The sequence below is a fragment of the Homo sapiens genome, chromosome 1, assembly GCF_000001405.40.
Source record: "Homo sapiens chromosome 1, GRCh38.p14 Primary Assembly".
NCBI lineage: Eukaryota > Metazoa > Chordata > Mammalia > Primates > Hominidae > Homo > Homo sapiens.
In genome coordinates, this window is record NC_000001.11 from 6,904,292 (window position 1) to 6,919,165 (window position 14,874).

Here is a 14,874-nt window from a genome sequence, read left to right on the forward strand (position 1 = left end):
GTCCTTTTCTTGAAAGGAGACCTGTCTCTCCCTCAGCCCTGGGACACCGTCTTCCTGCCTCACCATCTGGTCCCTGCCCCTTTCAAGGGCACCCTCTGAGATGGCTCTCCTGAGCTTTATATTCTTGGCTCTCTTTTCTTTTACTAAGAGCTCTCTGGACTGTTTTCTGATTTAAATTTCTGTTTATCTGCCAATGACACCCACATCTATATCTTTAGGCTCTCCTCCCCTGAACTTTAAGCCTTTTTTTTTCTTTCTTTCTTTTTTTTTTTTTAATTTTTGAGACAGAGTCTTCCTCTATCGCCCCAGGCTGGAATGCAGTAGCATGAACAACATAGCTCACAGCAGCCGCAGCAGCCTCAAACTTCCAGGCTCAAGCAGTCCTCCCACCTCAGCCACTCGATATCTGGAACTACAGGCATGCGCCACCATGCCCAGCTAATTTTTTTTTTTTTTTTTTTTTTTTTTTTTTTTAATTTTTGGCAGAGACGAGGTCTTGCTGTGTTGCCTAGACTGATCTCGAACTCCTGAGCTCAAGTGATCCTCCCGCCTCAGCCTTCCAAACTGCTGGGATTACAGGCGTGAGCCGCCACACCTGGCCTAAGCCTTTGTTTCGTATTGCACGCTGAACACTCCGACTCGCTGTGTGTCCAAAGCCAAACATTCTTTCTCCAACAGGTTATTCGTGTGGTTTGCTGTGTGTCCTGAGGCCAGTGGCCCACGCTTGCCACTCTGGGGTCCGCTCTGTTGCTGTGTGGCACTCCCTGGAGTCATGAATGAAGATCCATAAATTCTGCCTGTGAACTTCATGTTTTCTCCCATCTTCTCCATCTCCACTGCCCCAGCTTGGGCCCTCGTGAGTCCCTGAACTATTCCTGGGTCTCCTTGCCTTGTTCCTTTTTTTTTTTTTTTTTTTTTTGAGACGGTGTTTTGTTCCTGTTGCCCAGGCTAGAGTGCAGTGGTGCAATCTTGGCTCACTGCAACCTCCACCTCCCGGGTTCGAGCAATTCTCCTGCCTCAGCCTCCTGAGTAGGTAGGATTATAGGTGTGCGCAACCACACCTGGCTAATTTTTGTGTTTTTAGTAGAGACAGGGTTTCACCATGTTGGCCAGGGCTGGTGTTGAACTCCTGACCTCAGGTGATCCACCTGCTTCGGCCTCCCAAAATATTGGGATTACAGGCGCGAGCCACTATGCCCGGCCTGCTCCTCCTTTCTTTACCATCCACCTCTGTCTTGCCCCACCCCTGCCACCAGCCCCGCTTCCCTCTCATAATAAAGCTTCAGCTCCTAGTGGAACCCTTTGTCCATGCAGTCCCTTGGCCCTTCTGCACTTGGGTAAAGGCTTCACATTCAAGTTTCAGTTAAACTCTCCCTCTTCTCTGTATTGTCCGTGCCCCTGCCCCCTGCTTTGCGTTTGCATTGTGCTTTGTCTCTTATTAATAGTTCATGCAAGTATCTGTCCTCATACTTAGAGCTCTTTGGGTTAGTGCCTGCATCTCTTATTGCGTGTTCTGGGGCCAGATACAGGGCCTCATATACAGAGTGTGCTCGGTGCAGGGTTGCCAGAGTGCAGAGTTGCTGCCTGTGGACCCTATGGGAAGTGCTGCTTCATCCTCCCTGGAGTGGCTCCTGCTGCTGGTTCTGTGCCTGCAGCTCCCACACACGCCTCTGCTCCTTCAGATAGATGTCCTGAAGGGATGTGGAGCTGGTGTTGCCTGTGGGAACTCTGAGGCTCTGGCCACAGGAGCCCAGCACCTGCTTAGGATCGTGAGCCCTCCAAGTCACCCACGGTCTTTTCTGACAAGCCAGGAGCGACTGCTGTTTTATCTGGAAGCTTTCCAGTGGGTGATGCTAAGAAGAGGGATTCCCTCTTTCGTGTCATGTCAAATGGTACTCCCAGGTCCTCCTCCTCCTGGCAAGATGAGGGAGGAGGGAGAAGAATGGGGAGAAACCCCCTGCCAAGGGGTCTTTCTGGATATAGAGGTGCCAAATTTGTATAAAGGACTGTCTTCCCAATACTGAGCCCAGTGCATTTGTTGTGACTAGGCTACTGATGCTAGCTACTTAGAGATGGCAGAAAAGGCTCTGCTTTTCCTTCCTCACTGTGGCAGGGCCATGGGTAGTGGCCCTTCTCCCAGCCTTAAATCAACCAAAGAAGAGGCTCTATCCTAGACTGGCTCTACCCCACTGACACAGAAAATCAGGGTGGTGGCAGGTGCTGCAGGCAATGGCGGGAGATGTGCCAGGGACTTTGGCCATGGGAGCAATGGAGTTGGGCACTTTTAATTGATACCTTTAATAATTATTGTTCAAGCAACAGAAGGCAAAGTGGAATTGTTTCAAAGGCAAATTGGAGCAACAGGAGCTTGGAACTTGGCTCAGAAATGTGTGCCTACCTTCCCCACTCTGGCTGTTGTTCGAATATATTTTTCCTTTAAGTTTCCCTCCCCCTCATTTTCGAGTGCAGCAGTCTTTTCCCTAAAGGGAGTGAAAGAGGAAGGTGCTAAATGAAATATTCTCATGTAGTTATTATTTGCCTGGGGCCAGTTCAAGTTTCTAAAGTAAATCAAAATATGTATTTTAGCTAAGTTTAAAACCTTTCTGCCTTAGCCATGTGGGCAACTAAGGAGAAGCAGTTGTGACCCGCTGTAGAGGTGGGAGCTGTTGTCTCTCCCATCCCCCGCGTCCCAGCCCTGTGACATGGCCTTTGTTCTCTCGCAGGAAGTCTCGGGTCTGAAGAGGAAATTGAGATCCATCTTCGGGATAGGCAGGCATCATTTAAGATCTCAGTATTTAAATATATGTGATTTGTCTGTTCTAATTGCTTTTCAGTTTTGTTTGCTTTCTAAAAATCCGGTGTGTGGTTTCTGCTGTGTCCTTGAGTTGGTAAAACAGTAAGAGTTATAGGATGTTCTGGAGGCCGAGCAGCATCATCAACATTCAGTGTTTGCTGAGTCGCCAGACATCTGGGCTCTGGGATGGATGGAGGGACATAGTCCCTGACCTCTAGGAACTTTGTTGTAAGGAGACATGGCAAACGAACTTGCAGTCTCAGCAGCAGCTCTCCCGGCGCCCCCTCCTGCCCTCCCCCCGCTGTCCCGTGTTTCTACGCAGGGTGCATGCAGAGGTTTTCAAGTGTGAGTGGGTTGCTGCAGCTTGACTCAAGAACACTTCCCCAGCAGGGCATGCTCCTGGGGGAGTTTCACATGAAGGCAACTGAAGAATTCTGGCTTGTCCAGACCGCCGCTCTATGACCTTCAGTGAGCCAGGCACCGTTCGGGGCTTCATGGGACTCCTGCTGAATGGTGAGCCGGTGGTCCCCTGGGTCCATAGTCTCTTCCCAGTAAGACTGAAGGTTCTGAGTCGAGCAGCAGGTACGGGGCCAGCCTGCCCAGGGCGTAAGGACGACCACCCCTGGCCTGGGAGGAGTGCCCTCAGCCACTCCAGAAGTAGCGTGGGCATGTGCCCCGTGACTGGCAGACCAGTCAGCCCTCGGTGGGGCCCTTCCTGTCCAGCCCTTCTGCTCCTGCCCCACCTGGGAGCCACTGTGGTCCTCAGACCTGGCGCAGTTCCAGCCTCTCCCGCCCCACTGTCATTCCTGCCTGCCCATCACAGTGCCCACAAAACCCAGAGGCCTCCCAGCCCTATTGCCGTGGTGGTCTGCCTTCCGGCTCCCTCGCCAGCCTCGTGGCCTCATGTCTTGTCACTTTTTCCTTGCCTACTGGAGCCAGGCTGGCCATTTTTTCTCCCTCAGACGTGCCAAGTAAGTTGCTGTCCCTTCTGCCTGGACCCCCAGACAGTGCCCACCCTGTGACTTGAGAACCCCTTCTTTGCTCGTCACCCTTTATGAAGAAGACATCCCATCCCCTTCTGCCTGCATCATTTTCTTCCAGGCACTTAATGCTATCCGTCATCATCCCACGTCCTGTCCCCTCCAGGGTGCCAAGGCACACGCAGAGGGGCCGTTACTCCCCCTCACTCCCTTCACGCCTCTTGTGTCCAGCAGTGCCCACGGCAAGCAGGCTGACAGGCCAGGGTTCTTGCCTTGTTTCTCCACCATGCCCTCTGCTCTCAAGTTTATCTCCTGGCTCTGGAAATGCTGCCCGCTGCTCGCTGCAAGTGTGAAGCCAGAATATTCAAGAAGTATATTTAAAGTAAAAGTTGAGCATGCTTTCCCCAAGAAAAGGTTTTCATGTCAGTGAACTGGCAACGCGATCACCTCCTGATGGTCTACTGTCAACTGGAGGCTCTTAGGAAAGTGGCTCTGTCATCTTCTCCAGGGTTTGGTGCAGCCCAGGTTCATAGTTGTGGATTATAGTCCTCGTTCCTTTTCTTGGGGTAGAGAGTTAGGGAAATGGACATGAAAATTTTTAAAAATATGCTTGGTTCAACTTTGATAACATACCCTTCATGAGACTCTGGGGTTATGGCATTGTGAGCTCAACCCCAGAGCTAGGTAGGAGTCTTCGTGGAAGTGCTCCTGGCTTCGCCTCCCCTGCAGCTGCTCAGTGGGACAGCCTGTGCCAGGGCCCCTGAATGTGCAGTTCTCCACCAGGAGTTGTTATTGACAAGTAAGTGTGCAATATTAATTTAGCCAGATGCTGGCATCTTCAGAATCACACATGAGTATTGAGAAGTCATGGCTGAAACTGCTCGATCAATTTAAATTTAATTAAAAAGCATCGAATCAAAGAATAACATGGCGAAGTACAATAATAACCACAAGCATCTGCATCATTTTATATCATAATCCTTTTAAAAATTTTTTTCCAATGGTGACAGGTAGGATTAAGCAGGCTGACTTGCTACGTTCTCTTCTACTCCTCAAGAAAACAAGGATTTCCTGGCCTCTAAAAGAAAACTCAATTTATTTGTCTGCTTTGATCATCTGAAGTATTAGATGTGGACTGGAGAATCCTTGGGACTTTTAATAATTTAGATGAAAGGACACACAAAGTCACCTAATACTACTTAATAATACCTAGTACCTAATATTTGGATACAGTATGTCTGAATTACTTCCGAATACTTGTGAATTTCTAAGCAAAAGTATAGTTATTTCATTCTCAGGAACTCCCTAAAAATGACAAAGAAGTGCTTCTGGCATCACGAGGGAGGTTGGAAGCAGGCACAATTTGGAAATTCAGAGCCAGAAAAGGCCCATCTCCAGCAGGGTAACAGTTCTCAGGTTGGGGCGGGGGGCCTCTACCCTGCAGTGGGCTCTACAGCAGACCCTTGGGCTGGCAGACACAGCAGGCGGTAGAGCTGTGCCTCACAGGGGTTTGGCTGTATGGGATTGGCGCAGCCCATGGGGCGTGGAGGGCTCTGGTCTCCTAAGGGGCCTCTGCCTGCCTGTGAGTTTGCAATGAGGGACTAACTGGAGCAGGTGGGGTGACCCACAGGAGGTGGCCTGGGTACATTCAGCTCTGTCCTGGACTGATTCTGTGACCTTGAGGATGAGCCAGATACAATTAATCTGTGTGCACAAAAAGACTTGGGGAAAAGACTCCTGAGTGAACTTCCTGGGTCTCCCGGTTTTCAGGCTCAGCTCTAAGCAAGGATAGTGGTGACTTTTGGCTTTGGCCCCTCTGGTGTTAAGCTGAAGCCAAGGAAGTTTTCCTGCCTCTGCATGTACTTAGGCTGGTTGCCCCAAGGGTGGCCCAGCCTGTATGGAACTCTCTGGAGCAGCTAACCTGGTCCAGGTCACCAATCCTGAAAATCAGTTGGCCTTTCTCACAATGTGCCATTGTGGAATTTGCAGCAATCCTTGTTTGCTTTTGGCTTTATCTATATATTGACTAGGTGTTTGGGTCCAGGCCAAGCCACTTGCTGTCCTCTTGGAGTTGACATGCTAAGGCACTAGTACCCGTTATAGGGCCCAGGTGGCTGCCCAGCAATGCAAGGGGCACCTTGTTTATTGTTCTCCTGCTGGGTCATAATTAAGGTTCACTATTCAGATGATTCCAAAGCCTTCATGGGCTTGATCTAGGTGACCTGCTGGTTTGAAAGGAGAAGCTGTAGTCTCAAAACACCAGTATGGCAACTGTTTTTTTCTTCTTTTTACCCCAGTTTTCTTTCAGCTTCTGCATAGGCACAGAGTCACCTGGGTGGCCCCAAACTTCTTTTTAGCCAGGCTGGAACGTAACTTTGCAGGGTTCATTCCCTCTACTGAAATGTTTTTGCTACATTGGAGGCTCAGCTCATTTTTTGAGGGGAGCAGGGTGGGGAGGGAAATGCTGGTCTTGTTTCTTGAAAGGAAAATGCTAATGTAACTTGACTTGGGCCTGAGCTGTTGGAAAGCGGGTCTCTGCATACCTTGAGTCCCTCCAACATGTCACTATCTGGGAAGGTCATTGTGTCCTTGCAGTCCATCTTGTGCCTTTTCTGTTTATAGAGCGCAGCAAACAGGGTCAGGAACCCATGCTGAATATTTAATGAGGAAATATTTCAAAGGCGGAGGTGTGCTTGCCTGTCACCTACTGGGGCTATATGTGGGAACCCAAGGTTGCTGGATCCGTGGAGCTTTGGACCCAGGCCCTGGGCTGCTAGAACCCTGTGGCTGGACTTCAGCAGCTCAGAACCTTCTGCTGGGGGTGCTTTGTTCATAATTGCTCAACAGTGAGGAAATGGAAGTGGCGGGCAAGGAGTGGACTTGCCAGGGAGCTGTGTGTCCCCATTGCTCGCGTCCAGGATGTCATCCTAAATTGCAGTACATCTGCTAATGAGGAGACAAGGTGTTACCTTCCGTTTGGAGCAGCTGCATTAATTACATCCTCTCAGACATCCCCTGTGCCTACCACTCCTGGCCAGCTTCCTTTGTTTTAAGTTAATAGACCAAATTGGAGGGAAAGAGGGGAGGGTGTCCTTGGAGACCAGGTGCCCTCTGCTCCTTGAACGTGGTGAGGACGTTAGCTCAGGACTGGGAGCTGGTGGCAAATGGCAGGCTGGCTCTGTGAGGTGGTCCTTGGAGGGAGTTGGGGCCCAGGAGGCCACCTGCATGAAGAAGCCCACTGGAGCTGAGAGGACAGTACCTGGTGTCAGCTCCTTCGACCTCCCTGTGACCTTGTGGGGGATGAGGAGAAGGGGCTGAGCCATCCTCCTGCCTGTGAGTAATTATCGTCAACACGGAGAGAGAGATATGAGCCACAAAGCCAGAAACCAGAAAACAAAGGCCCTGTGCAGTGTCTTCCTGTGTTTGAGCCATCTCTGTAAGTGATCTTCCTGTGTTTGAGCCATCTCTGTAAATGATCTTCATGTTTGAGCCATCTCTGTAAATGATCTTCATGTTTGAGCCATCTCTGTAAATGATCTGTAAGACAGGTAGACCTTCATAGGGCTGAGAAGCCCCCTGTCCGAGGCCAGATCCACCCCTCCCTTTACCAAGTCCCCCAGAAACCCCGCTGGTAAGGTGCTGGCTGAGCTCCTCATCTGAAAAATGGGAAGGCCGAGAACCACCTCTCTGGTCTCTTGTGGAACCTAAATTAACAACTTCGAGTGATTCCCTCATGTGTTTCCTCGCTTGCTGTCTGCGGGCTCTGTTCCGCGAGCCCTGCATCAAGCATATTCCTGGCACACACTGAGGGCACAGGAGATATTTGATGAGCAGCTGAATGTGACAGTGATCTGCACAATGCTAGCTGCTAAGATCAACTCCCTTTGTCTTCCTGAATCCCTGCTCTCTTTCCCTTCTTTCTCTTATCTTTCCCTCCCCTTCCCTCTCCCTTCCCTTCTTTTCAGGCTATAGCTGAAGGGTGTTGTTTGTAGGATCCCCGGATTGGTGGGTGGCTCTAGTGTGACAGGCCTGGAGGGCTGAGCAGTGTGAGCCTGGCTTAAGGAACATAAGACAGACTTGCTTTACTTTTGCAGCTCAATTGCTTGGCTTTCAATCCCTGGATTAGTGGGTTTCATAGGAGCCTCCCCAGGAAGTCTTGCACAATGGAGTTCATTGGCTTGAGTAGCTGTAACCCTGAAGGTCAAGTTCTTTCCAACTGGCTGCTTCAGGATGCTTAGCAGGCCAGCGGGGTAAGCAGCAGTAGCATCCCCCTTTGTTTCTGAATGAGAAATTATTCCCAAGAAGTCACCAAGTGTGAAAATGTGTGTTGTCTTGCTAATGGGACACTAATGAAATATTAAAGTGGCTTTCTTCCTGTCAGTCTCCTGGGGACCACTCTATCCTCTGGATTTTAGTCTGTCTTTACATAAAGAGCCCCGGGGAATTAACATTTCTTGGTACTTTTCAAAATAACCTTGGTCTTTCTCATGCCATAGTAAAGAAGTTCATGTTTCCGTTAGATAACTGTCTGGCTTAGGGAGGGGCTCTGTCCCTCCGCAGGGGAGGAGGATTTTGGTCGGCCCTCCCAGCAGCCTGTCCTCCAGGCGGATGCCTGCTCCCAGCTCCCTCATGCCCCACCTCTGCCTCCCTCTCAGCAGAAGACTACCCCAGTTCACAGGGGAGGCGCTGTCATACTGCCCCACACTGAGCTTGAGCTGGGAGCCAGGCGTGCTGCCCGCCTCCATGCCCGTCACTGAATCCTCCCACTACCCAGTCGGCAGCTGGGAGTTGTTTCTGTTTCCACTGTGTGGGGAGGGAAGCTTGGGCACCAGGAGGTTGTGTGGCCAGTCACAGAAGCAGGATTTGAACCCAGCCCAGGCCCTGTGAACTCCAGCGCCCAGCGTGGAGTTATTGCCTTGCCAGCACCTCCCTGTTTTTGGCTACAACTTGGTCTCCCCAGGCTGCCATCAGCATGCCGTGACCTTGAGTGATTTACATGATCTGTGCTCAGGTTCCTCCACTCTAAATAAATTCCCTAAGTGCTTTCCTTCCTCTTCATGTTTGTAAACACTTCTGGGGACAAAAGGATGTGGAGGAAGGGGTCGTATTTTAGAGGCCAGTTTCTCCTTTAGGTCCATGCCCTGTCTTTGCTCTGGCGGCCACTGCTTGGCCCCAAGTCCCCTTGGCCTGGAGGGTGAGTTGGCCTCCCCACCCTCCGCTTGCTCTGACCCAGTGTGTGCAGTGCCACATGGCCAGACTGTTTCCATCAGGACGGTCAGAGCTCTGCTGAGGAGCCTGCAGAAACCTCCCAGATCTGCCTGCTTTTGGGGTTCCCTGGCCCTCCAGCCTTGTTGGGGTGCCCTCCCCAGCAGAGCCATCATGGTAACGAGGCATTCTTCCCCTAGTGGTCAGCACCCTGCTTGACCCCCTGCGTGGGGTACCTTGCCTCCCTTTCCCCCTGCCCCCAGCTTCCTCCTGCATAGACTCAGATTGACTTCTTCCCAGAAGTTTCTTCCTGCCCTGGGTGCTGATCTCTTCTTTTCCTGAGTATTTTCAAGTAGCTTTATGGATGAGCGTTTCTGTTTGATTCAGCACAAACTGTGCTGTGCCAGGCCCTGTGCTCAGTTCCAGAGATGGTGCTGAGGAAGGTCCTCAGGAGGGAGATTGTGGGAGGAGAGGACTACTAGATGCATCACAAAAGAGGCAGCGTGGATGTGGGTTCTTAAGGCAGAGTAGGATGTTTGAAAGGTAGAGATGGGGGCCTTCCTGGTGGAAGGGACTGCATGAGTACAGGCGTAGGAGCAGGTAATGATGAATTTGGAGGCAAATGAGTAGTATTTTTGTCTGGAGCACAGGATTTCCATCAGTGTCCTGAGAAAGGAGTAAAGAGGCTACAAGGCCAGCTTCTTCACTCATATCATCTCGTACTGCTTTTGGGACACTGGGCACAAACACACCGACCTATTTCTAAGATGATCCATTTGAGCATCTGCCTCCCTCACATTAATGTAGGTTGCAAAAAGGCAGGGCTCATCTCTTTTTTTTTTTTTTTTTTTGAGATAGAGTTTTGCTCTTTTTGCCCAGGCTGGAGTGCAACGGCGTGATCTCGGCTCACTGCAACCTCTGCCTCCCGGGTTCAAGTGATTCTCCTGCCTCAGCCTCTCGAGTAGCTGGGATTACAGATGCCTGACACCAAGCCCTGCTAATTTTGTATTTTTAGTAGAGATGGGGTTTCACCATGTCGGCCAGGCTGGTCTTGAACTCCTACCTCAGGTGATCTGCTGCCTTGGCCTCCCAGAGTGCTGGGATTACAGGCGTGAACCACCACACCTGGCCATCTCTGACTTTTTCACTGTTCTACCTCTGTGCACTTGATATATTTAACAGATGCTATATAAGGCTTTCAAATAAATGAATATGTACTCTGAGATGAGGCGGATTCTCTCACAGGCACATGCACACACGGCTATCGGCTGCCCTAGCTAGTGGCCATGCAATGGCCATTTTTTGTGGCCTCCGACTAGTGGTTAGGCTGTGTGGGGTGCTGTTTACCCACTGGTGGAACCTATTCCCAGGCAGGCCCCTAGGAAGGGGTGGCACATGTACATGGTTGGGACAGAGACCTTTTCCCTCTTTAAGGCCAGGTCTGGCTTGAACGAGCCAGGGGCTTTTAGTTTAGCTGGGCTGAGGCGCTCATGTGGCCAGGGAGATGCTGGGAGCCTGCAGACTCTGGGATGTTACTCTGCGTTTTTTTCTCCTCTCCCCAGAAACACGTTTTTGTCTCCATCTGACCAACTTTTTAATCTTAATTTATGAGCCTGCTGTAGCACCAGTAAAGACACACTGTACTGCCTGAAAGAATCACTGCTGAATTCTAATTCTGTGCGATTCAAAGGCATGCCTTTGGCCGGAGCTGCTTCAAGAATAAGCAGAGCGGGAGGCTCGGCCCTGCTCTGGCTCTGTGGGCTTGTCAGGAAGCTTTGCCCTGGCTGCCTCTTACGGGCCTCAGGCTTAATTAAGCCTTCTGATTTATTTTTCAATTCATTACTTTTTGAAAAAAGAAAAGCCACTTTAATGGAAGCTTTTAAAATCCAGACACTTTGGATTCCTCTACTTTGTCAGGCAAAAGTGGATTCGTCTAAGTAGTTTCATTAAAAAAGAAAAGCATATATTTATGAAGGTTTCAGAGATTAGATTTTTTTACTCCTTTCACTCCAGGAACCTAAAAGCCAAACTTGGAAAATAATTTTTGTGGTTAGGTATGTGCATTCACTCAGCCAAGAAATCTAGTAATTTCATAAGTACCCTGGATTTCTGCATTTTATAATTTCCCTGTCCTGTCTTCTTGGTGACTTGGGTTTTAATTCTTTTCCTGCCCAGCTTCCTGATGTGGGGGCATTGGTACAGGCTGTGGTTTGAGAAATTTCACAGGAAGAGAAGAAGCCAGGCCGGAAGGGTTTTAGTGGAGCCAAGGTGTTCAAGAAGGTGGGAGCAGTGCAGCCTGAAGCTAGAGAGAGTGGACAACGTGGTCTAGAAGGAGAGGACTGTGGGAGGGAGGGCTGTGCAGTGGAGGGCTCATCACAGGGCTTGCCGGAGAGGGAGGAGAATCACAGCAGAAGCAGCAGCCGGCCTCTGGTTTCCAGCCCTGTCAGCCATGGCCACTGGCGTGGTGAGGAAGATGGAGTCAGTAGCATTCATGGTCTCTAAGCAAGCAGTGATCCTATATGCTGGCGAAGCCTGTCTCTCTGACTGGGGCCTGCAGACAGGGGTGGCCCTGATGACTTCTCCAAGACCGTCTATCCTACAACTGAGTCTCTGACCCCACCATCGGTCATTCTTAGACTTCAGCATGGGGGACTGATCCCCTGGGGTCTGTGCATTAGGAGCCCTTGAATGTGCCCTAGCTGCTTTCTGGTGGGTCCCTGGCACTTGGAGTGGGTGGTGGAGCCCTGAGTCTCCTGGGCATGCCTGTGAGTGCTGTTCGCGGTCTGTTCCCAGGTGCAGACATCTCAGAGGCGACCAGGCTGCCAGAGAAGGGGACGAGAAGGGAGCCAGGGGCATGTGATGTCTTTGTGTTCTTCCTCTTTGCTTTCTCCTGCTATCGGGTGGGAATCCTCAGGACCACAGAGACCTCCGGGTCTCACCCTGCCTGGGCTGGATTCAGCTCCACCACCTGTCAGCGCAGAGCCCAGGGCGCTTCCCGGGCATCACAGAGTAGAAAGCTCATCCGTTTTCCAAGAAAGGACACTAAGACGATGGCCAAATTGAGTTAGGAGTGCCAGGAATCCAGATCCAGGAGCCGCCGGCCGAGTTCCTGTAAGGCCCGCCCCACCTCTGAATGACAACTGCTTTCCGAGTTTCTGCAGGGAAACCAGGCTGCTCTCCCCCAGCATTTACGGCAGCTTGACTTACAGGCCCTCATGTTTGCTGCACACTCCAAATCAATTCTCTCTCCTTCTTTAAACTTTTATCACTTTGCTGTATGAATAAGGCCACTGATTTTCTAGGTTCCATGTGCTTTTATATCAGGATTTTTCTTTCTTCTCTCCTACTTTCTCCACAAGCTTGTTCTGAACACCTGCTCTGTGTGAGACCCATGGTGGGCTCCCTAGGCATCCAGAGATGAACTGGTTGTGGTCCTGGGCCTCCAGGAGTTGGCACTCTAGGGAGGGATGGGGAAGTAGCCTCACAGTAGATACGTTTTCTGCTTTGTTCACCCATTGAGCAGATAGATACGTCATGGACACTTATTCCGTGCAGATGTCATAGCAGGTGCTGAGCTGTACAGGTGATGAACAAGACCAATGTGGACCTGAGCTTGCCGTGAGCTTCCACTGTAGGGAGGCGGAGGCCTGTTGAGGTACATGAGGGGACAATTACAGGCCATTCTGGAGCTCATAGAAAAGCCCACGTAGTCTGTGTGGGGTGGGTCAGGGAAGACTTCTCTGAGCAAGTGGTGTCTAAGCTGAGACATGAAGGATGAGTGAGAGTTAGCCAGGTGAAGGGGGCCAGGGAGAGAAAGATTGTTCCAGGCAGAGGGAGTTGCCCTATAAAGAGATGGCATCCAGGGAGAGAGTGGCATGTTCATGACAGTGGAGGAAGCCAGAGGGTTTGCAGTGTGGGGAATGAGCCTGTTCATGACACTGGAGGAAGCCAGAGGGTTTGCAGTGTGGGGAATGAGGGTGTGGCTGGTGCAGGATGAGGGTGGAGTTGTGTGCAGGTGGGCGGGATGCAGGGCCTGGTAAGCCGTGGTGGTTTAAATGAAGTGCCGTGGAGGGCCTAGGAGAGAGCCAGCTGATGAGATATCTGACTTGGAGAAGCCCAGGGTGGCAAGATTGGATGCGAGGAAACTGTTAAGAGACCAAGAACTTGCAATTATTAACCTAGGTGACAGTTGGCCCAGAGTGTGGCAATGGAGCTGGAGAGAAGTGACAGATTCAAGAGATTGGTAAGAAAAGGAATCTGTAGGACTTGGCCATCGATCAGACATTGAGGGTGGGGGGAAGGGAGGCGTTAAGGACAGCCCTGAGGTCTCTGTTTTGGCACCCACTGCCATGACCCAGGAGGAGCAGAGGAGAGTTCAGTTGGAGGCCGCCCTGAGACAGCCAGGTGCGGCTTTGCAGTAGGATTTATGGGCTTGAAATTCAGAGCCAAGGATAGCCCAGGAAATACAGATTTGGGAGTAGAGAGGAAGACCCACAGGAGAGGGCAGAGTGGGGTGGGGGAGGGGGCCCCGAGAAAGACGCAGCAAGGAGGGGAAGGGCAGAAGCAAAACCCATCGGGGGCGGGGGGGGACATCTACATGCCATCTTTGGTGCTGTGAACAAGGGACAGTATTTCAGCAGGTGGAGGCCATGGGTCACAGCGAAGACGTTCCAGGTAGCTGGACCAACATGACCAAGGTGGAGAGGCAAGAGGTGTCCATGCTGTCTGGGACCTAGGCTGGGTGGGGCTGGGTTAGGCCTCACATCTAGAAGGCCCCAAATGCCCAAGTTCTTGGGCCTTGCTTGCTTGTCTCTAACTTTCCTTCTGTGGCTCCTAATGGTGAAGGCCTCCCATGCTCCTGTTTGGGAAGAATTATGCAATTATTCCTAAATGGAGTGCATGTCAGCAGCCCTGGCACTGAAAAGGGAAGACATATTGGAGGAGGAGAAACCTTTCACCCAGCCCTAAACCAGCTGCTTCTGGAGAGTACTGAAGAAGAATAATATTTTTTTAATCTAAAAGAACTTTACATTTATGCTTGACTGAAGCACAGGCCACATTTGTCCTGGGAGCCAATGAGCAGACAGAGTTTGGGTAATCTATGCAAAGGCCCCTCAGCTGCCCTGCATCCATCATCCCAAGTGACAGAATTTACATCATTAATCATTGGCAGTAATAGAAAAGTCATTGGAATAGAATGTTGTCACAGATAAATGTCTCCCAATTGCATATAAATGTCTCGGCTTTACTGTACTATTTGTGCTTGAGAAATACTGTGGCTTCAAAACGGTATTTATCTGGCATTGGGAAACCATCAACGCCAGCCTGCCTTGCCGACAGCACCTCCCGAGGAACTCAGAACTTCCCCCGTGGGCCTCAGGCCCAGGATCGCTGCACATCTCTGCCCATGACAGGAGTTGGGCAGAGGGAGGGGAGGCTGGGCTCCTTGGGACTTCCTGGTGGATGACGCCTGGGGAGTTAGAAAACACTCAAGTTCAGTCATGCCCACCGCGTTCCCCCAGCCTGTCACCCTGTGGCTGGAGGGTGGCTTGCTGCCACTTGATGCAGAGAAGAAAGGAGGGTCTGAATCGGGCCCAGCAGAACTAGCCGCTCTCATGGCCTCAAATTCAAGGGTGTGGCCGCTCCAAAGGCACCACAGGCCACAGAGAAAGGAGAGGCGACCCTGCAAGCTAGAAGCCAAAGAGCTGAACATTGGAAGGCCTCCTTACCATTTTTGAAATGAAGCCCACAGTGGTTTTGGGCTGGCGTCTTTCTGTTTTGTGACCTGAAAACACTCTGTTTTTGGAAAGTGCAGATCTGCTGACACCTTTTTCCGGAGGTTTGTGTGTTTCTCTCCGTGGTGAGCCGCCCTGCCTCTGACAGGGCCAGATGCTG

The 14,874-nt window shown here is 51.0% G+C and overlaps 1 protein-coding gene across 25 annotated transcripts in view, besides 3 other annotated features; it reads left to right on the forward strand.

Annotated features, from left to right (window-relative positions):
• CAMTA1 (calmodulin binding transcription activator 1) overlaps nucleotides 1-14,874 on the forward strand; it is a 984,253-nt gene that overhangs the window by 118,838 nt on the left and 850,541 nt on the right. The gene's annotated exons all lie outside the window — the stretch shown is intronic.
• Nucleotides 3,362-4,087: an enhancer, noted in NCBI's record as "H3K27ac-H3K4me1 hESC enhancer chr1:6967713-6968438 (GRCh37/hg19 assembly coordinates)". NCBI's record gives its function as "activates a minimal SCP1, AML or CMV promoter by ChIP-STARR-seq in naive H9 embryonic stem cells {active_cell/tissue: H9 hESC(naive)}" and the evidence as "EXISTENCE:reporter gene assay evidence [ECO:0000049][PMID:30033119]".
• Nucleotides 4,799-5,299: an enhancer, noted in NCBI's record as "H3K4me1 hESC enhancer chr1:6969150-6969650 (GRCh37/hg19 assembly coordinates)". NCBI's record gives its function as "activates a minimal SCP1, AML or CMV promoter by ChIP-STARR-seq in naive H9 embryonic stem cells {active_cell/tissue: H9 hESC(naive)}" and the evidence as "EXISTENCE:reporter gene assay evidence [ECO:0000049][PMID:30033119]".
• Nucleotides 5,300-5,800: an enhancer, noted in NCBI's record as "H3K4me1 hESC enhancer chr1:6969651-6970151 (GRCh37/hg19 assembly coordinates)". NCBI's record gives its function as "activates a minimal SCP1, AML or CMV promoter by ChIP-STARR-seq in naive H9 embryonic stem cells {active_cell/tissue: H9 hESC(naive)}" and the evidence as "EXISTENCE:reporter gene assay evidence [ECO:0000049][PMID:30033119]".